We start from the raw sequence: 14,490 nt of genomic DNA on the forward strand, positions 1-14,490 counted from the left end.
CAAGGCCAGATCATCTTTAAGTTTCAGTGGTTACTTTCTAAGATTCTATAACAGTTTTTCCACTATGGCCAAGACAGAATGAATAAACTAGATTTTCAAAATTAGAATTTATCTTCTCAGCTTGGCTTTTTTTCCTCTTTGGTGCATAACAGAAAAGTAAAAATGGGAAATAAATAATATATGTGAAGAGGTTTGGGATCATCACTATGTTTGTTGGTGAATTCTGCCACTGATTGCGTGGGGAACTAAGAAGTGAGATTTTCTTCACCACTACCCGCAACATTGACACAGGACCTAAGCACATAAAACAAGCTCGTTCATATGTATAGTTTGGGTTTTGACAACAGCATTAGATGCTCACAGCATAATAATTTATATGCTGGACATCTTTGGGCAACTTAATCTTCTGAGCCTCATTTCTGTAAAATGAAACTACCAATGACTTAAGAAAGCAGCCCTGAGAATTAAGCTAAAGACAGAAATCCTCATTAAAATGCCCTAGTAAGGGGAGAAGTTGTGGGCAATGCTGTCAAATATCCATGAAAAATGTACATTTCCAGACAAAATGGCAGCTCCTCTAATTTACTGGTATTCTTCAGCTCTAAATTTCATCAGTCCTGTTCATCAGAAAGAATAACAAGAGAAACAGAAGGAAGTACTACAGAAAATGAGTATATTTTACCTATCCTAGGTAGTAGAAAATTTTGAGCATTCTTACATGAAAATTCAACAATTTGAACTCATTTTACTGGCCTGTATAAAATAGAAGTTGTGGAACATTTTATTTGGTATTTAATTACTTTCACGTATTTCTGGTTTCTTTGGCATTGTGCTTTTTCTGTTGTTGTTGATTTTACTTTAAGTTCCAGGATACATGTGCAGAACATGTAGGTTTGTTACATAGGTATACATGTGCCATGGTGGTTTGCTGTACCTATCAACCTGTCATCTAGGTTTTTTGTTTGTTTGTTTTTTGAGACAGAGTCTCGCTCTATAGCCCAGGCTGGAGTGCAGTGGCACGATCTTGGCTCACTGCAACCTCTGCCTCCCAGGTTCAAGCCATTCTCCTGCCTCAGCCTCCCGAGTAGTTGGGATTATAGGCACGTGGCACCACGCCTGGCTAATTTTTTTGTAGTTTTAGTAGAGACGGGGTTTCACCGTGTTAGCCAGGATGGTCTAGATCTCCTGACCTCGTGATCCGCCCACCTCGGCCTCCCAAAGTGCTGAGGTTACAGACATGAGCCACCACGCCTGGCCCTGTCATCTAGGTTTTAAGCACCGCATGCATTAGCTATTTCTCCTAATGCTCTCCCACCCCTGGGCCCACCCCCCGATGTTCCCTTCCTTGTGTCCATGTGTTCTCGTCGTTCAACTCCCACTTATGAGTGAGAACATGGCATTGTGCTTTATCCACAGGGATCATCCTATCAGCATGGGCTTGTCAATAGTTAGATAATCTTTCAAAGTTCCCATTAACTGTCACTTTTTAAGATGTTTAGTTCAATTCTGTGGAAAGTGGGAATTAATCTAGTCAAGCATATTCTTAACTTTCAATCACTCCAGAAAAACATTACAGAATGATAGAATCCCTACCACATGCTATGATAAGCTATACAAAGGGAACAATTGGCTTTTTCTTCTTAGCTATAATGGTCTAGCAGGAAGGGCCCTTAGCATTGTTATTTTCTGTGTAGTTGTTTCTCCTGTAGCATACTGTATGTAAAAGTTAAACATTAATACCACTTGGGACTTTTACAGTGCATTTAATGGGCTCAGCATGTCTTAGAGCCAGTCTCTGAGAGCTGCAGTATCTTAACAGCACTCCTAATGGCAGGTTACTCTTTTTCTATTATATTAAAGACCGAAGGTGAAGGGAGAAAGAGGGTAAGTGGCTTATAAATGATTATCAGTACAGGAACTAGACTGAATACTTGGGCCACATTTTGACAGTTAGTCCAGACATTCAATCACAGATTTTGGATCATTGTGGATGTCTATGATAGTAATAACTTCACAGTAATAGTCATGGATAATGTAGAGAGTTTAATGGTACTTCTGCTTATAATGCTTCCAGAAGTTCTCAGTACTTAAAACATAAGGAAAGTTACTTATTGCTGTCATTACTATTACGTACAAATTAACAATAATGACCTGCACTTGGGTAAAGGCTGTACTTTGGACTTTAGAATTCAACTATTATATTAATACTCAACTCAGTACTAAGCAGATATAAGATTTCAATAAATATTTGTGGATTTTTTCAAAGAGCTTCTAAAGTAAATATTAGCTCACTTGATTTCACAACAGCTTTGGGAGAAAGATTGGGTGGGTGTCGTTATGCTCATTTTCTGTGAATTGGATGAAGACTAATAAAATGGACATGGTCTTGGAGTCATAGGAAAACTTGGGTTCTTAGTCTGTTCTGCTCTTAATAGCTGTGTGATGTTGGGAAATTACTTGACCTCTCTGAGCCTCAGTTTGTTTCCGCAGAAAAGTAGGGATATTACCATCAAACAGTTATTTTTAGGAATAAACGAGATTATCTATGCATGTCTCTAGCTCAATGTTACTAATCAGGATCCTGCACTTAATAAAAGACAAAAATGAGATAAGAGGTCATGTTGGCTGACTTTGGGCCAGTTGCCCTTTGCATTAAGTCAGATTTAAGGCAGTAATTTGCTAGTCATTGTATCATGAGCCATGGCCCAAACACTTGACAGACTTTGAAGATTTGTTATTACTTTGCCTTATGGAAGCCTAAAAAGTCATGATCATAAAACAATTAACATTTCTGCTGATCTGGAAAAAATGTCACTCGAATTGAGATGGATGTTCCTTTTTAAATTTTTTCTGTTGTGGGCTGAGTGTGGTTAAGGTGAGTTTTTTGAGATGGCACTTTTTAGATATCATTTCAGTTTAATATTCTATATTCCTCCTGTGGCCAGAAATACTCAGTAACTCCTTAACTTTAACTCTGACATATTATCAGTGTGTCAAGATGGAAACCAGTTGCTGCTGAATCTCTGGCTCAAGAGATCGTTAAGCAGATGCTAGAAACAGAAGCCAGGCTTCTGAGACAGACGCTGGGCAGCGGATACTTTAAGCTACTGAATGAACATAGGATGGCTGTGTTAGGTAGCTTGGAGGTAGTGGTGAAGGAATAGCTTTTTATAGTCATGACTGTTGAGGTCACCTCCATCCCTGAAATTACATGAAAATTTATGAGCTTCCTAGGCTTTTGTTCTTTTGATGCTCAGACAGGCTTCTCTACTCTAGATTGAAGTCTCATGCATTTTCCACTAACTTAGAAGAACAGTATGGCATAATGGAAAAAGCATTGGTTTCCGATGAGCTGTGTAATGTTAGGTAGATCACTTAGCCTCTCTGTGTCCTTTTCTCAATGGTATAATGGTATAATAGAAGTTGAGAAGATCAATCGTGCTGACGTATTTTGATGCTTTGAACATTTAAAGTGCTAGACAACACTGGCTTGTAAAATAACTGATTACTAGCAGAAAGAGAAGGTTTATGCTGACTTATTTTTCAAATGCTCTATGACTCTTCTACAGTGTTTGGTAGACTGGCTCTAGGCTCAGCTTTGTGCCTATCTTAAAAAAAAGTACATAATGCTATACTGATTCATTCTTCTCATTGCCTAGGATTACATTAGAAAATAAGCTCCATGAAGGCAAATATTTTTGTATGTTTTATTCACAGATGTGTCTAAAGTGCTTATGACATTATCAGACATACAATAGGTGATCAGTGAATATTTGTCAAATGACAAAATAATTTGAAGTAAGGAGGCACAGGCATCTACTGTTGCTCACCTTTTGACTGTGTGTGTGTGTGTGTGTGTGTGTGTGCGTGTGCGCATGCGTAGGTGCTGAGGTGGGCATGATAATAAGTATATATCGTTACATATATTCTATCTCACTTTAAATGGTAAAGTTTTCATCTCTTGATTTCCAGTATTGGGTCAGGTAGCATCTGCTTAAAGGACAATTTCTTCCTGACATTTTAATTCAAGTTTCAATTCAAATCCCACTAGTTCTGGTTGCGCCTGGATCAACGCATTAGTACACTCAGCTTAATGATACCCTACCAAGCTTCCTGAAAGTCTTACAGAGATACACAATTACCAAAACCCACCTAGGGGGCCTGCACATTGAAGGAATCACTAATGGGATTTGAGAGGGAGTGCTGACAACACAATCAGTCTTTAAACGAAGAGTTTCTGTTGGAGCTAAAATCCAGTCAGAGAAGCAGGAGGTGATTTTATGATTTATACAAATCCACAAGAGCATCAGTAATAATTTGAGGCTAACTGAAACATGCAATGTCCAGTTTCTATTGAGTCCTGGAAAGACATTGCCTGGATTTATCTAGGCAAGTAGACGGGGTCAAATGGGATCCATGAGCATGTCATCAATAATGTTTACTTATCTGTTATTTAAGGAATTTTAATGAAAACCAAATTAGATGAAGTGAACTGTTTCTAATCTGATTTCCATGCATCAAGCTAAGCTCCCCTCTACTAAACAAAAGCCCAGGAAATCTAACAAAAACCAAATAAGTAGTGATCAGTAAACTGTAAGAAAACTGTAGTCTGCAGGGTCTGTGTCAACTGCTATTTTCTTTGGCGCTCTTGATTCTCACTTGCCTCAAGACACAGACAGCTGTTATATCCACAGGAGAAGAAGCAACTGATGGAGTGTTCTCTCTCCTTAGGTTAGAAGGAATAACATCTCAAGACTGGATTTGTCATTGAAAGGTTTGAGTATCCCTTTAATTTCGTAGAATCATTTTCTTCTCCACATTACTAAACCCAGCATTTTGTACAAGTAAATTTGGAATTATTTTAGCATGGCTTGAAATCTTAAAACTACAGACTGCACTTGTATGATGCTCTGTCAGCTGCTTCGAAAGGAAGGCTCTGTCAACTGCTATTACTATTAAATTTTCTCTCTGTTTAATAATTTAGCAAAGTAACACGTTCACAGGGTAAAAATCTGAGTAGAATAGAAAGACTCATAATGAAACATAGCAGTCCTCACTCATCCTTTTTCTACACTGAGTTTTCTGGAGACAGTAGGTTTTTCTGCCATTCTGTTCTTTCCTCTCACTGTATGATTTTACTTTTTCTTGATCAATCAAATTCTGTTAATTTTATGCTAAGGAAGAGTTTAGTTCATTTAAACTACTCTCTCCTAATATTTATGCCTGGTATTTGACTTACCCTATTAGTTATCATTGTACTATTAATACAATAAACTGAAACCTATGTGTCGTCACGTCTTATTTACTCAATATCTCTTGACTTCCTACCGTGTGAGATTAAAATATTAACACCTTGCCTTATTTGCTGTCCTCTGTCCTTATTGCCAGCTTCTGTTTTCCGCCAGTTCCACCTTTACTTCAAAAGAGTGGCTTTTACAATTCTCACCATAAAGAAATAATAAGTATGTGAAGTGATGGATGTATTACTTAGCCTGATGTATTCAGTCCACAGTGTATATATGTATTAAAACATTACGTTGTACCTCCAAAATATATACAATTATTATTTGTCAATTAAAAATGTAAGAAACCCACCCCCCCCACCCAAAAACCAAACAAAAAGTGTCAAGGTTGATCACGTTTACATTCAGTTTTGTAACCTTGATTCAGTTTTATGTGTTTTACTGATAGGTAACATCCAAAAATTGAAAACCAATAAGTGTTTATAGCATCATTATTATTTAAATGCATCCTGCATAGATTAGTAGTGTGCTATGATTACTGTTCTTCCCTGGCTTCACAATCTCTCTTCAAACTAGCATACTGAAGGGGTCTTCATATCCTAAAACAACAAATAGATTGATTTTCAAATCATTGTTTTTTTAACTGATTACCAAATTAATGCTTATTTTAGATATAAAAATGTAAAGAAGAAACTTATAAAGAAGAATTTTTAAAAATCCCACAACACAAAGGTATGTCAAAACTTCATCATGGGTTATTTCCAAATTTGATTTTCTTCTCCATTGAAATGGCAGGTTGAAGACTCAGATTGACCCCTCCAATACTGCAGGAAAGTGGTGAGTGTTCTCGGTCACCACAGGCATAAATTAATGAGGCCGTGTTTCCAAACCTTGCAACCCACCCCTTTATCCTAGTCTATAATTTATTGGAAAGATAAAGAACATTTGATTGAACCCATAAACACCCTTGATGATCATATTAGCATTTCCTTGAGTCTTTCTATAATTTCTTCCCCTTTCTGGTTGTTTGAGAGAAAGAGTGCAGCCCTTCCTTTGCCTTGCCAGGAATTACAAAGGTTATCTTCTTAACAGATTATATTTGAAGAGTGAAAGGGCACACTTTTAGTCATTCACTTGGGACAACAGGCATAAACTGGGTTGTATGATCACCTGAGATTAGCTTTTTCTTTTAAAGAGGAAACACTTCCAATAGAAAACAGTTGCTCTTCAGCCTCACTCTTTTTTAAAGAAGAGTCTGTTATCCCAGGTGGCTTAATGAGCCACCCCATACATCTGCTTTCCACCTTCCTGAATTTACTTCCTTGAGAGTCAAGAGCAGACTCTTAGGATGTCAGCACAACAGCTCTTTCTGTTACTCACTCACTCACTCACTTCTCTGCATCATCCATCGTTGCTACCTATAGCTTCTTCCTCAAGGTCCTTCCCTTTGTTTCTAACATTGTGCTCTTCTGACTCTTCTATTTTGAATAACCTCTTCCATCTTTTGTTCTTTTTGTAATTGCTCTACTACTCATTCTGCTCCCTTCTGACTCTAGGCAATGTAGTTTTGCTATAAAATGCTTTCTTGCTCTGCCTTCCTCTTGTTTTGGCTTCCTTTCAGGAAGTACATGGTTCAACCCTGAGCTCTATGTAGTTAACCCCAAATCTATGTGTCAACCCTGACTATTGTTAACATGTTTTTCTTTTTTTAGTTGGCACACATAATAACTGTATATATTTATGGGATACAGAGTGATATTTTGATACACAAATACAATGTATAAGGATCACATCAGGGTAATTAGCATACTCATCACCTCAAACATTGATCACTCCTTTGTGTTGTGAATATTTAACAATTTCTTTTCTGTTTTTTTAAAGCATATAATAAATTATCATTAACCACATTTACCCTACAGTGTTATAGAATGCTAGAACTTATTCTTTCTATCTAACTGTAATTTTGTATTGTTACCCAGTCTCTCTTCATCCTCCTCTCCTCCTTACATTTCCCAGCCTCTAATAACCACAATTCTATTCTCTACTTCTATGAGCTCATATTTTTGTAGTTTCCACATATGAATGAGAACATGCGGTTTCTATATGTAGTTTCCACATATGAATGTGAACATGCGGTTCACATATGAATGAGAATATGCGGTTCTATGTCTTGCTTATTTCACTCAACAAAATGTCCTCCAGGCCCATCCATATTGCCACAAATGACAGGATTTCATTCTTTTTTATGGCCGAATATTGTTCTATTGTGTACATGTCCCACATTTTCCTTATCTATTCATTTATTGATGAACTTTTAGCTTGATTTTTTATCTTTGCTATTGTGAATAATGCTGCAATAAATACCAAGGTGCAGGTATCTCTTTAATATACTGATTTCCTTTTCTGCTTCTACTGAACATTAGCAGCTATTTTTGGATATCCCCATTTGGAGGTTCATCTGACTCCTGAGAAAAAAGTGGCCTAAACTAAATGAATTCTCTTTTCTTTTCTTCCTGGAATTATTCTAGCATTCGTGTTACCTGGTTCAACACTCAATAACTATTCTTTACACCTTCCTCTGGCACTCCTCCTTCAGGGAATTTTTTAGTCCTGTTCTATTTCCTAATATTTGATGTTCTTTCTTCTTCTCTCTATGCCCACTGCTGCTTTGCTTTCCTAGTTCTGATTCTAGTAAAAATTCTCCTATGAAAAGCTAATAAAGGTATAGGAAAAAAACTAAACAAGTGTTTTTCCATCCCTCACACTCCACCCAACAGAACACTTCTGATACCAGATATGTAGGGGGTTTTCCCCACACACCAACCAAGCAATTCTCCAGTAGACACCAGTTGACATCCTCTACTAATTCAATTCAATTCTGACACTATTTACCTGGAGATAGTATCAGATCCCACAGGCTGAGCACTCAGATCCATAAGACTTCTCCCCACTTCAGATGCCAGTCACAAGCACAGGCTGTGACCTGCTTCTGACCAATTGGCTATAAATCAGGAGTTCCCATGATACCTTCCTTGGGTTTGATCAGTCTGCTAGAGTGGCTTACAGAACTTGGAAACACTTTACTTATGTTTACTCACTTATTATAAAGGACATTACAAAGGATACAGATGAACAGCCAGATGGAAGAGCTGCATAGGGCAAGGCATGTGGAAAGGGGCATGGAGCTTCCATGCCCTGTCCAGGCATGCCAATCTCCAGGCACCTACACAAGTGAGCTCAATGATCTGGAAGCCCTCTGAATCCTGTTCTTTTGGTTTTTTTTAAACATTTATTTTTATTTTAATTTAGTTTTATTTTTTTGAGACAAAGTCTCACTCTGTCTCCCAGGCTGGAGTGCAGTGGCGCGATCTTGGCTCACTGCAACCTCCACCTCAGCCCCCTGAGTAGCTGGGACTACAGGTACACACCATCACACGCGGCTAATTTTTGTACTTTTAGTAGAGATGGGGTTTCACCATGTTGGCCAGGATGGTCTCAAACTCCTGACCTCAGGTGATGTGCCCACCTCGGCCTCCCACAGTGCTGGGATTACAGGTATGAGCCACCGCACCTGGCCTCTTTTGGGTTTTTATGGTGGCTTCATTATGTAGGCATAATTGATTACATCATTGGCCATTGGTGATCAACTCTACCTTCAGCCCCTCTCCTCTTCCCAGAGGTCTGGGGTGGGGCTGAAAGTCCCAACCCTCTAATCATGAAGTTTTTCCAGTGACCAGCCTCCATCGTGAAGCTATCTAGTGGCTCCGAGCCACCAGCCATCTCATGAACATAGAAAAAACACTCATTGCTCCAGTGACAGAGCTGTGTGCCAGGAAGTGGGATCAAGACCAAATATATATTTCATGTTATCACAAGATGGAACTCTATATATGAAGGTTTGAGAGAGAGACACACACACATAATATCATCCAGGTAAAGGAGTAGACAGTCTTAATCATTTTAATTAACAATCTACCTGCTTTTAAACTAAAGAGCTTCTGCACACCAAAAGAAACTACCATCAGAGTGAACAGGCAACCTACAGAATGGGAGAAAATTTTTGCAATCTACTCATCTGACAAAGGGCTAATATCCAGAATCTACAATGAACTCAAACAAATTTACAAGAAAAAAGCAACCCCATCAACAGGTGGGTGAAGGATATGAACAGACACTTCTCAAAAGAAGACACTTATGCAGCCAAAAGACACATGAAAAAATGCTCATCATCACTGGCCATCAGAGAAATGCAAATCAAAATCACAACGAGATACCATCTCACACCAGTTAGAACGGCGATCATTAAAAAATCAGGAAACAACAGGTGCTGGAGAGGATGTGGAGAAATAGGAACACTTTACACTGTTGGTGGGACTGTAAACTAGTTCAACCATTGTGGAAGTCAGTGTGGCGATTCCTCAGGGATCTAGAACTAGAAATACCATTTGACCCAACCATCCCATTACTGGGTATATACCCAAAGGATTATAAATCATGCTGCTATAAAGACACATGCGCACGTATGTTTATTGCGGCACTATTCACAATAGCAAAGACTTGGAACCAACCCAAACGTCCAACAATGATAGTCTGGATTAAGAAAATGTGGCACATACACACCATGGAATACTATGCAGCCATAAAAAGTGATGAGTTCATGTCCTTTGTAGGGACATGGATGAAGCAGGAAACCATCATTCTCAGCAAACTATCGCAAGGACAAAAAACCAAACACTGCATGTTCTCGCTCATAGGTGGGAATTGAACAATGAGAACACATGGACACAGGAAGGGGAGCATCACACACCAGGGCCTGTTGTGGCAGAGGGGGAGGGGGGAGGGTTAGCATTAGGAGATATACCTAATGTTAAATGAGGAGTTAATGGGTGCAGCACACCAACATGGCACATGTATACATATGTAACAAACCTGCACGTTGTGCACATGTACCCTAAAACTTAAATTATAATAAAAAAATAAAAATAACAAAATAAAAATAACAACAACAAAAAAAACTACCTGCTTTTTTTCTGAGCTCTTCCAGAAACACAGCCCCGCACCTCCTCCTTGCTAAAATATGTACATTTCCCCATTATCTACTTAATAAAATCCAAACTCCTAGACTTGTGTTTACATCTATATTTAAACCTTATATTGTACTACATGTCTTCATGGAAATTTTTCCAGAGTGTAACACACATGATTTTTGAGTAGTTTTTCTGGCTTTCCCCTCCCAACTTCTCAGCTGGGATAGAAGCTGCCTAAAGCAGGAGCTTGTCTGCCTTGTTCACTGCTGAATTTCCTGAGCTGAGAATATAGCCTGATACATAGCATGCTCTCAGGATTCATTAGACGAATGAATAAATGAATGACGAGTTATTGTCCTTACTTTCTGCTTTCTGGCCACATGCCCTCTTAGACAGCACTTATCTGTTATGAGCTGAATTGTTTTTTCCCCAAAATTCATATGCTGAAGTCCTAACACCCAGTATCTCACAGTTTGACTATATTTGGAGATAGGGCCTTACAGAGGTGATTAAGTTAAAAAGAAGTGGTTTGTTAGGATGGGCTTTCATCTAATTTGACTGGTTTCCTGTAAAAAAATTTGAAAAGGAGGAAGAGGAAATTTGGGCACACAGAAAGATATAAGATGAATGTATACACATAGAGGAAAGGCCACGTGAGGAAAGACCACAGTGAGAAGGTCTGCATGCCAACAGACAGGCTTCAGAAGGAGCCAACTCTGCAAACCCTTGGTATTGGACTTCTAACCTACAAAACTGTGAGAAAAGAAATTTCTGTTGTTTAAGTCATCCAGTCTGTGGTATTTTTGTTATACATTTACTTTTGCAACAGTACTCTGTTAAACCTTTTACATACAATCCTAATAAGAATCCTATGATGTAGATATTTTTATGATCCCCATTTTACAGATAAAGAAATGGAAGAATTGAGATGTTAATTAACTTTTTTATGGTCAAACAGCCAGGGTTTGGAATGTAGGCAACTTGATTCACCCTGTTCCCTCTACCTGGTACACCTTCCCCTTCACTTCTGAATGGTAAATTCTAACCATCTCCAAAGCCAGAGAACATGTCTTTTTTCACTAAATTTCCCCACTTTGGCTTCAAACTTATATTGTGATATTTGTTTTACTTTATGTTTAGTTCCAAATTTGTTGTAGATGCCTGCTCAGGAATCTGCTTAGCTCTCCAGGATGGGGGTCTCACATTATTCACCATAGCCCTTTGACATTAAACCTAGACCCCTTCTGGGATGAGAGTCTATTATGGGCTGAATTGGAACCTGGATCCTGATTGCTGGCGGATAGGTATCCTGGCTATACAAATGCCAATTTACATGTATTTAAAAATTCACTTGTCTCAGAATTCCATATTCTATTCTCTATTACATGTATAGGAATCTCTGCTAGCCTGATATTGATTACATCCCTGGATCATCATTGTTCATATTTCCCTATAGCCTTTACATATAGTGTTCTACTCTTTATATGCACTTTCCCCAGAATCAGAAGTTTAGTCTCCCCTAAAGCCCCCAGCTTACTGTGCATAGTCTGTTTCCATGGCTCTGCTTATCCTACACATGACTGCTGTTTAGCAGGCAATGTCCAGGCATGACCTGTGATAGTCAATCCTTAGATTTCTGTTAATGATTCACCCATTTATTCACACATGCATTCACTTATTTGTTCTTCTGTTTATCCATCTAACTGGGAGCTTTTTATATGCCAGGTATAACACAGATCAAGGTCAGTTTCTTGATTTGATACTAAAAACATCAACAAGCTTTTAATGCTACTAACAATCTACAAAAATATTCCTAAATTAACCTACACTAAAATGTAATTTGAAAACATATCACTGATGAGATTCAGGTATCTTTCTGCGTGTCACCAGGAAGCAATCTAAAATAAAATCAGTAACAAATAAGTTGCAAACTAGGAAATTATAACATGTCATGAGGATATGTTAAATGAAGGCTAGCCGTGGTGTGATAAGGGACAACTGAAGTTTCCGAGGTTCTGGAATACTGAAAAAGGAATACTGTGGAAAAAGAGAGATTAGTGCTGCTCTGGTACTGCCTAGGAGAGAGAAACTCAATCCAGAACTAGGGTGTTAGTGAGGGTGACAACTGCATAGAATAATAAGTCCAGTTTAGCAAACATTTTTGAGAAACCCCTAAATACTAGACAATTGTAGGATGCAAATGGGAATCGGATATAGTCCTTGTCCTCAAGTAGTGGGGAAAACAGACACATAAAATCTTAGCTTTACTAGAGGTAGGAGTGAGGCAAGTGTGGCTGTCAGCAATATCAAGCAACACCTCAGATGTGCTATTATCTGAAGTGATATCAGACACTGTCAAGATCCAAATTTTCTAGGCTTCTCTCTTTTCTTTTTTTTTTTTTTTTTTTTTTTTTTTTTTTTTTTTTTTTTTTTTTTTTTTTTGAGACGGAGTCTCACTTTGTTGCCCAGGCTGGAGTGCAGTGGCTCGATCTCGGCTCACTACAATCTCCGCCTCCCGGGTTCACGCCATTCTCCTGCCTCAGCCTCCCGAGTAGCTGGGACTACAGGCGCCCGCCACCACGACCGGTTAATTTTTTTGTATTTTTAGTAGAGACGGGGTTTCACTGTGTTAGCCAGGATGGTCTCAATCTCCTGACCTCGTGATCCGCTCGCCTCGGCCTCCCAAAGGGCTGGGATTATAGGCGTGAGCCACCGCGCCTGGCCAGGCTTCCCTCTTAATGAAAGGAACATAGTACAATTCCCAGACTTCTGTCTGATAGTAGAAAACAAGAAAGAAAAAAATGGAGATCAATACATTTTGGTGGGTAATATGAGAACTATGCTGGATATTTAATATTTTCCTCTCCCAATCCATTTCATTCTTCTCCACTCTTCTCCCTGTATATAAGTTATACAGTCTATGGTATTTTGTTACAGCAGTACAGACTAAGACACCACTTTCTGAATTTAAACAAATTTCCGCTGTGTCAAAATTGAGAAGAGCGTGCACTGACTAGCTGATAAAATCAATTCCATTTAATTGGAATGATATTTCTCACTACAAAATAATGAGGTAGTAATATGACTGATAACTTTTTCACCTGCACTTAGATTTGTAAATCAACTGGTTAACCTAGAACAACCAATAAAATTAGATTTCTGAACTCTGCACAGATGAAGATGAGACTTCGAAGTAGAAAGGAAATAGGAAACTCAAGTACCTAGCCAACCTCACCTAATGCTACAGGAATAACGCATATTTAGAGTTGCTGGTCTCGTATGGTGATACAGACCCAACCACAGTCTAATTATCAGGCTTGGAGTCGAGTCTGCTGCTGCCCATGAAATATGGTTAAAATAACTAGTCCTTATAGGATTTCAGGATTATTAGTACTGTGCTAAGAAAGGGATGTCCCTCAGGTTCTAAGGAAACAGGGCTCTGCAGAATTGTAACTAACTTCTGGATGCAACCACAGGGTTTTAACATTTAAAGATAACATTGGTCAGTCTGATCTACCATCCAGGCAGCCCAGTTAGCCATGGGAAGACCAGAAGCTATTTTCTTAAATACATTTTCTAACATAGCTTAAATATGATAGAAATATTGAAATGTGGTTTAATTCTCTTGGTTGAAAAAGAAAATGTGATCTGTAAATGATTCTATAAACTTTTGACTTAATTTCTCTTAATTTCTGCCCAGTGTGTCACGTATGATTTTGTTAGTAACATCTGCAGCACTTGCAGGTTAACACATCTATTTCATCCAAAATCATACCAAAATGAGTTGGATATATAAAAATATTTGGCAAATGTCACAAGTAGATGCAGTGAGGAAAAGCCTAATTTCTAAGTCACACGTGTACTCAAGGGTGCTGAGTTGGATGAGCACATATTTTACAAAGAGCTGGACAGTTCTGGTCCTTGTTTTATCATGGGTCAGGAGCACAAAAGTGAACTAAATAACAGAAATCAAAAGGCAAACATTGACACTGGAAGCTCACAAGACTTAGCAAGAAACACATTCTTAAAAGTCATTAAACAATTTTGAAAAGAAATTCAAGCTGTGGGGATTGAGCTCTGAGATCAGAACAATAAGCTCCATGAATTGGAACAGAGGCTTTCTGAAAGCAGTTTTGAAGAATACTTTTCCCAGACAAGCTTCTTTGTGAGGGGATTTTTTTTTTTTTTTAACAAATATGCCTATTTTTGACTCAGCTCAG

At 38.4% G+C, this 14,490-nt stretch overlaps 1 protein-coding gene and 1 long non-coding RNA gene across 3 annotated transcripts in view; one reads left to right on the top strand and one right to left on the bottom strand.

Moving 5' to 3' along the window:
* Positions 1-14,490, bottom strand: part of EYS (eyes shut homolog) — a 1,987,247-nt gene that overhangs the window by 204,707 nt on the left and 1,768,050 nt on the right. The gene's annotated exons all lie outside the window — the stretch shown is intronic.
* LOC105377836 (uncharacterized) lies at positions 1,412-7,067 on the top strand. The gene is made up of 3 exons (XR_942649.2): positions 1,412-1,884; positions 4,732-4,774; positions 6,039-7,067. It is a non-coding gene; the product is annotated as an uncharacterized LOC105377836 (long non-coding RNA).

The sequence above is a fragment of the Homo sapiens genome, chromosome 6, assembly GCF_000001405.40.
Source record: "Homo sapiens chromosome 6, GRCh38.p14 Primary Assembly".
Taxonomy (NCBI): Eukaryota; Metazoa; Chordata; class Mammalia; order Primates; family Hominidae; genus Homo; species Homo sapiens.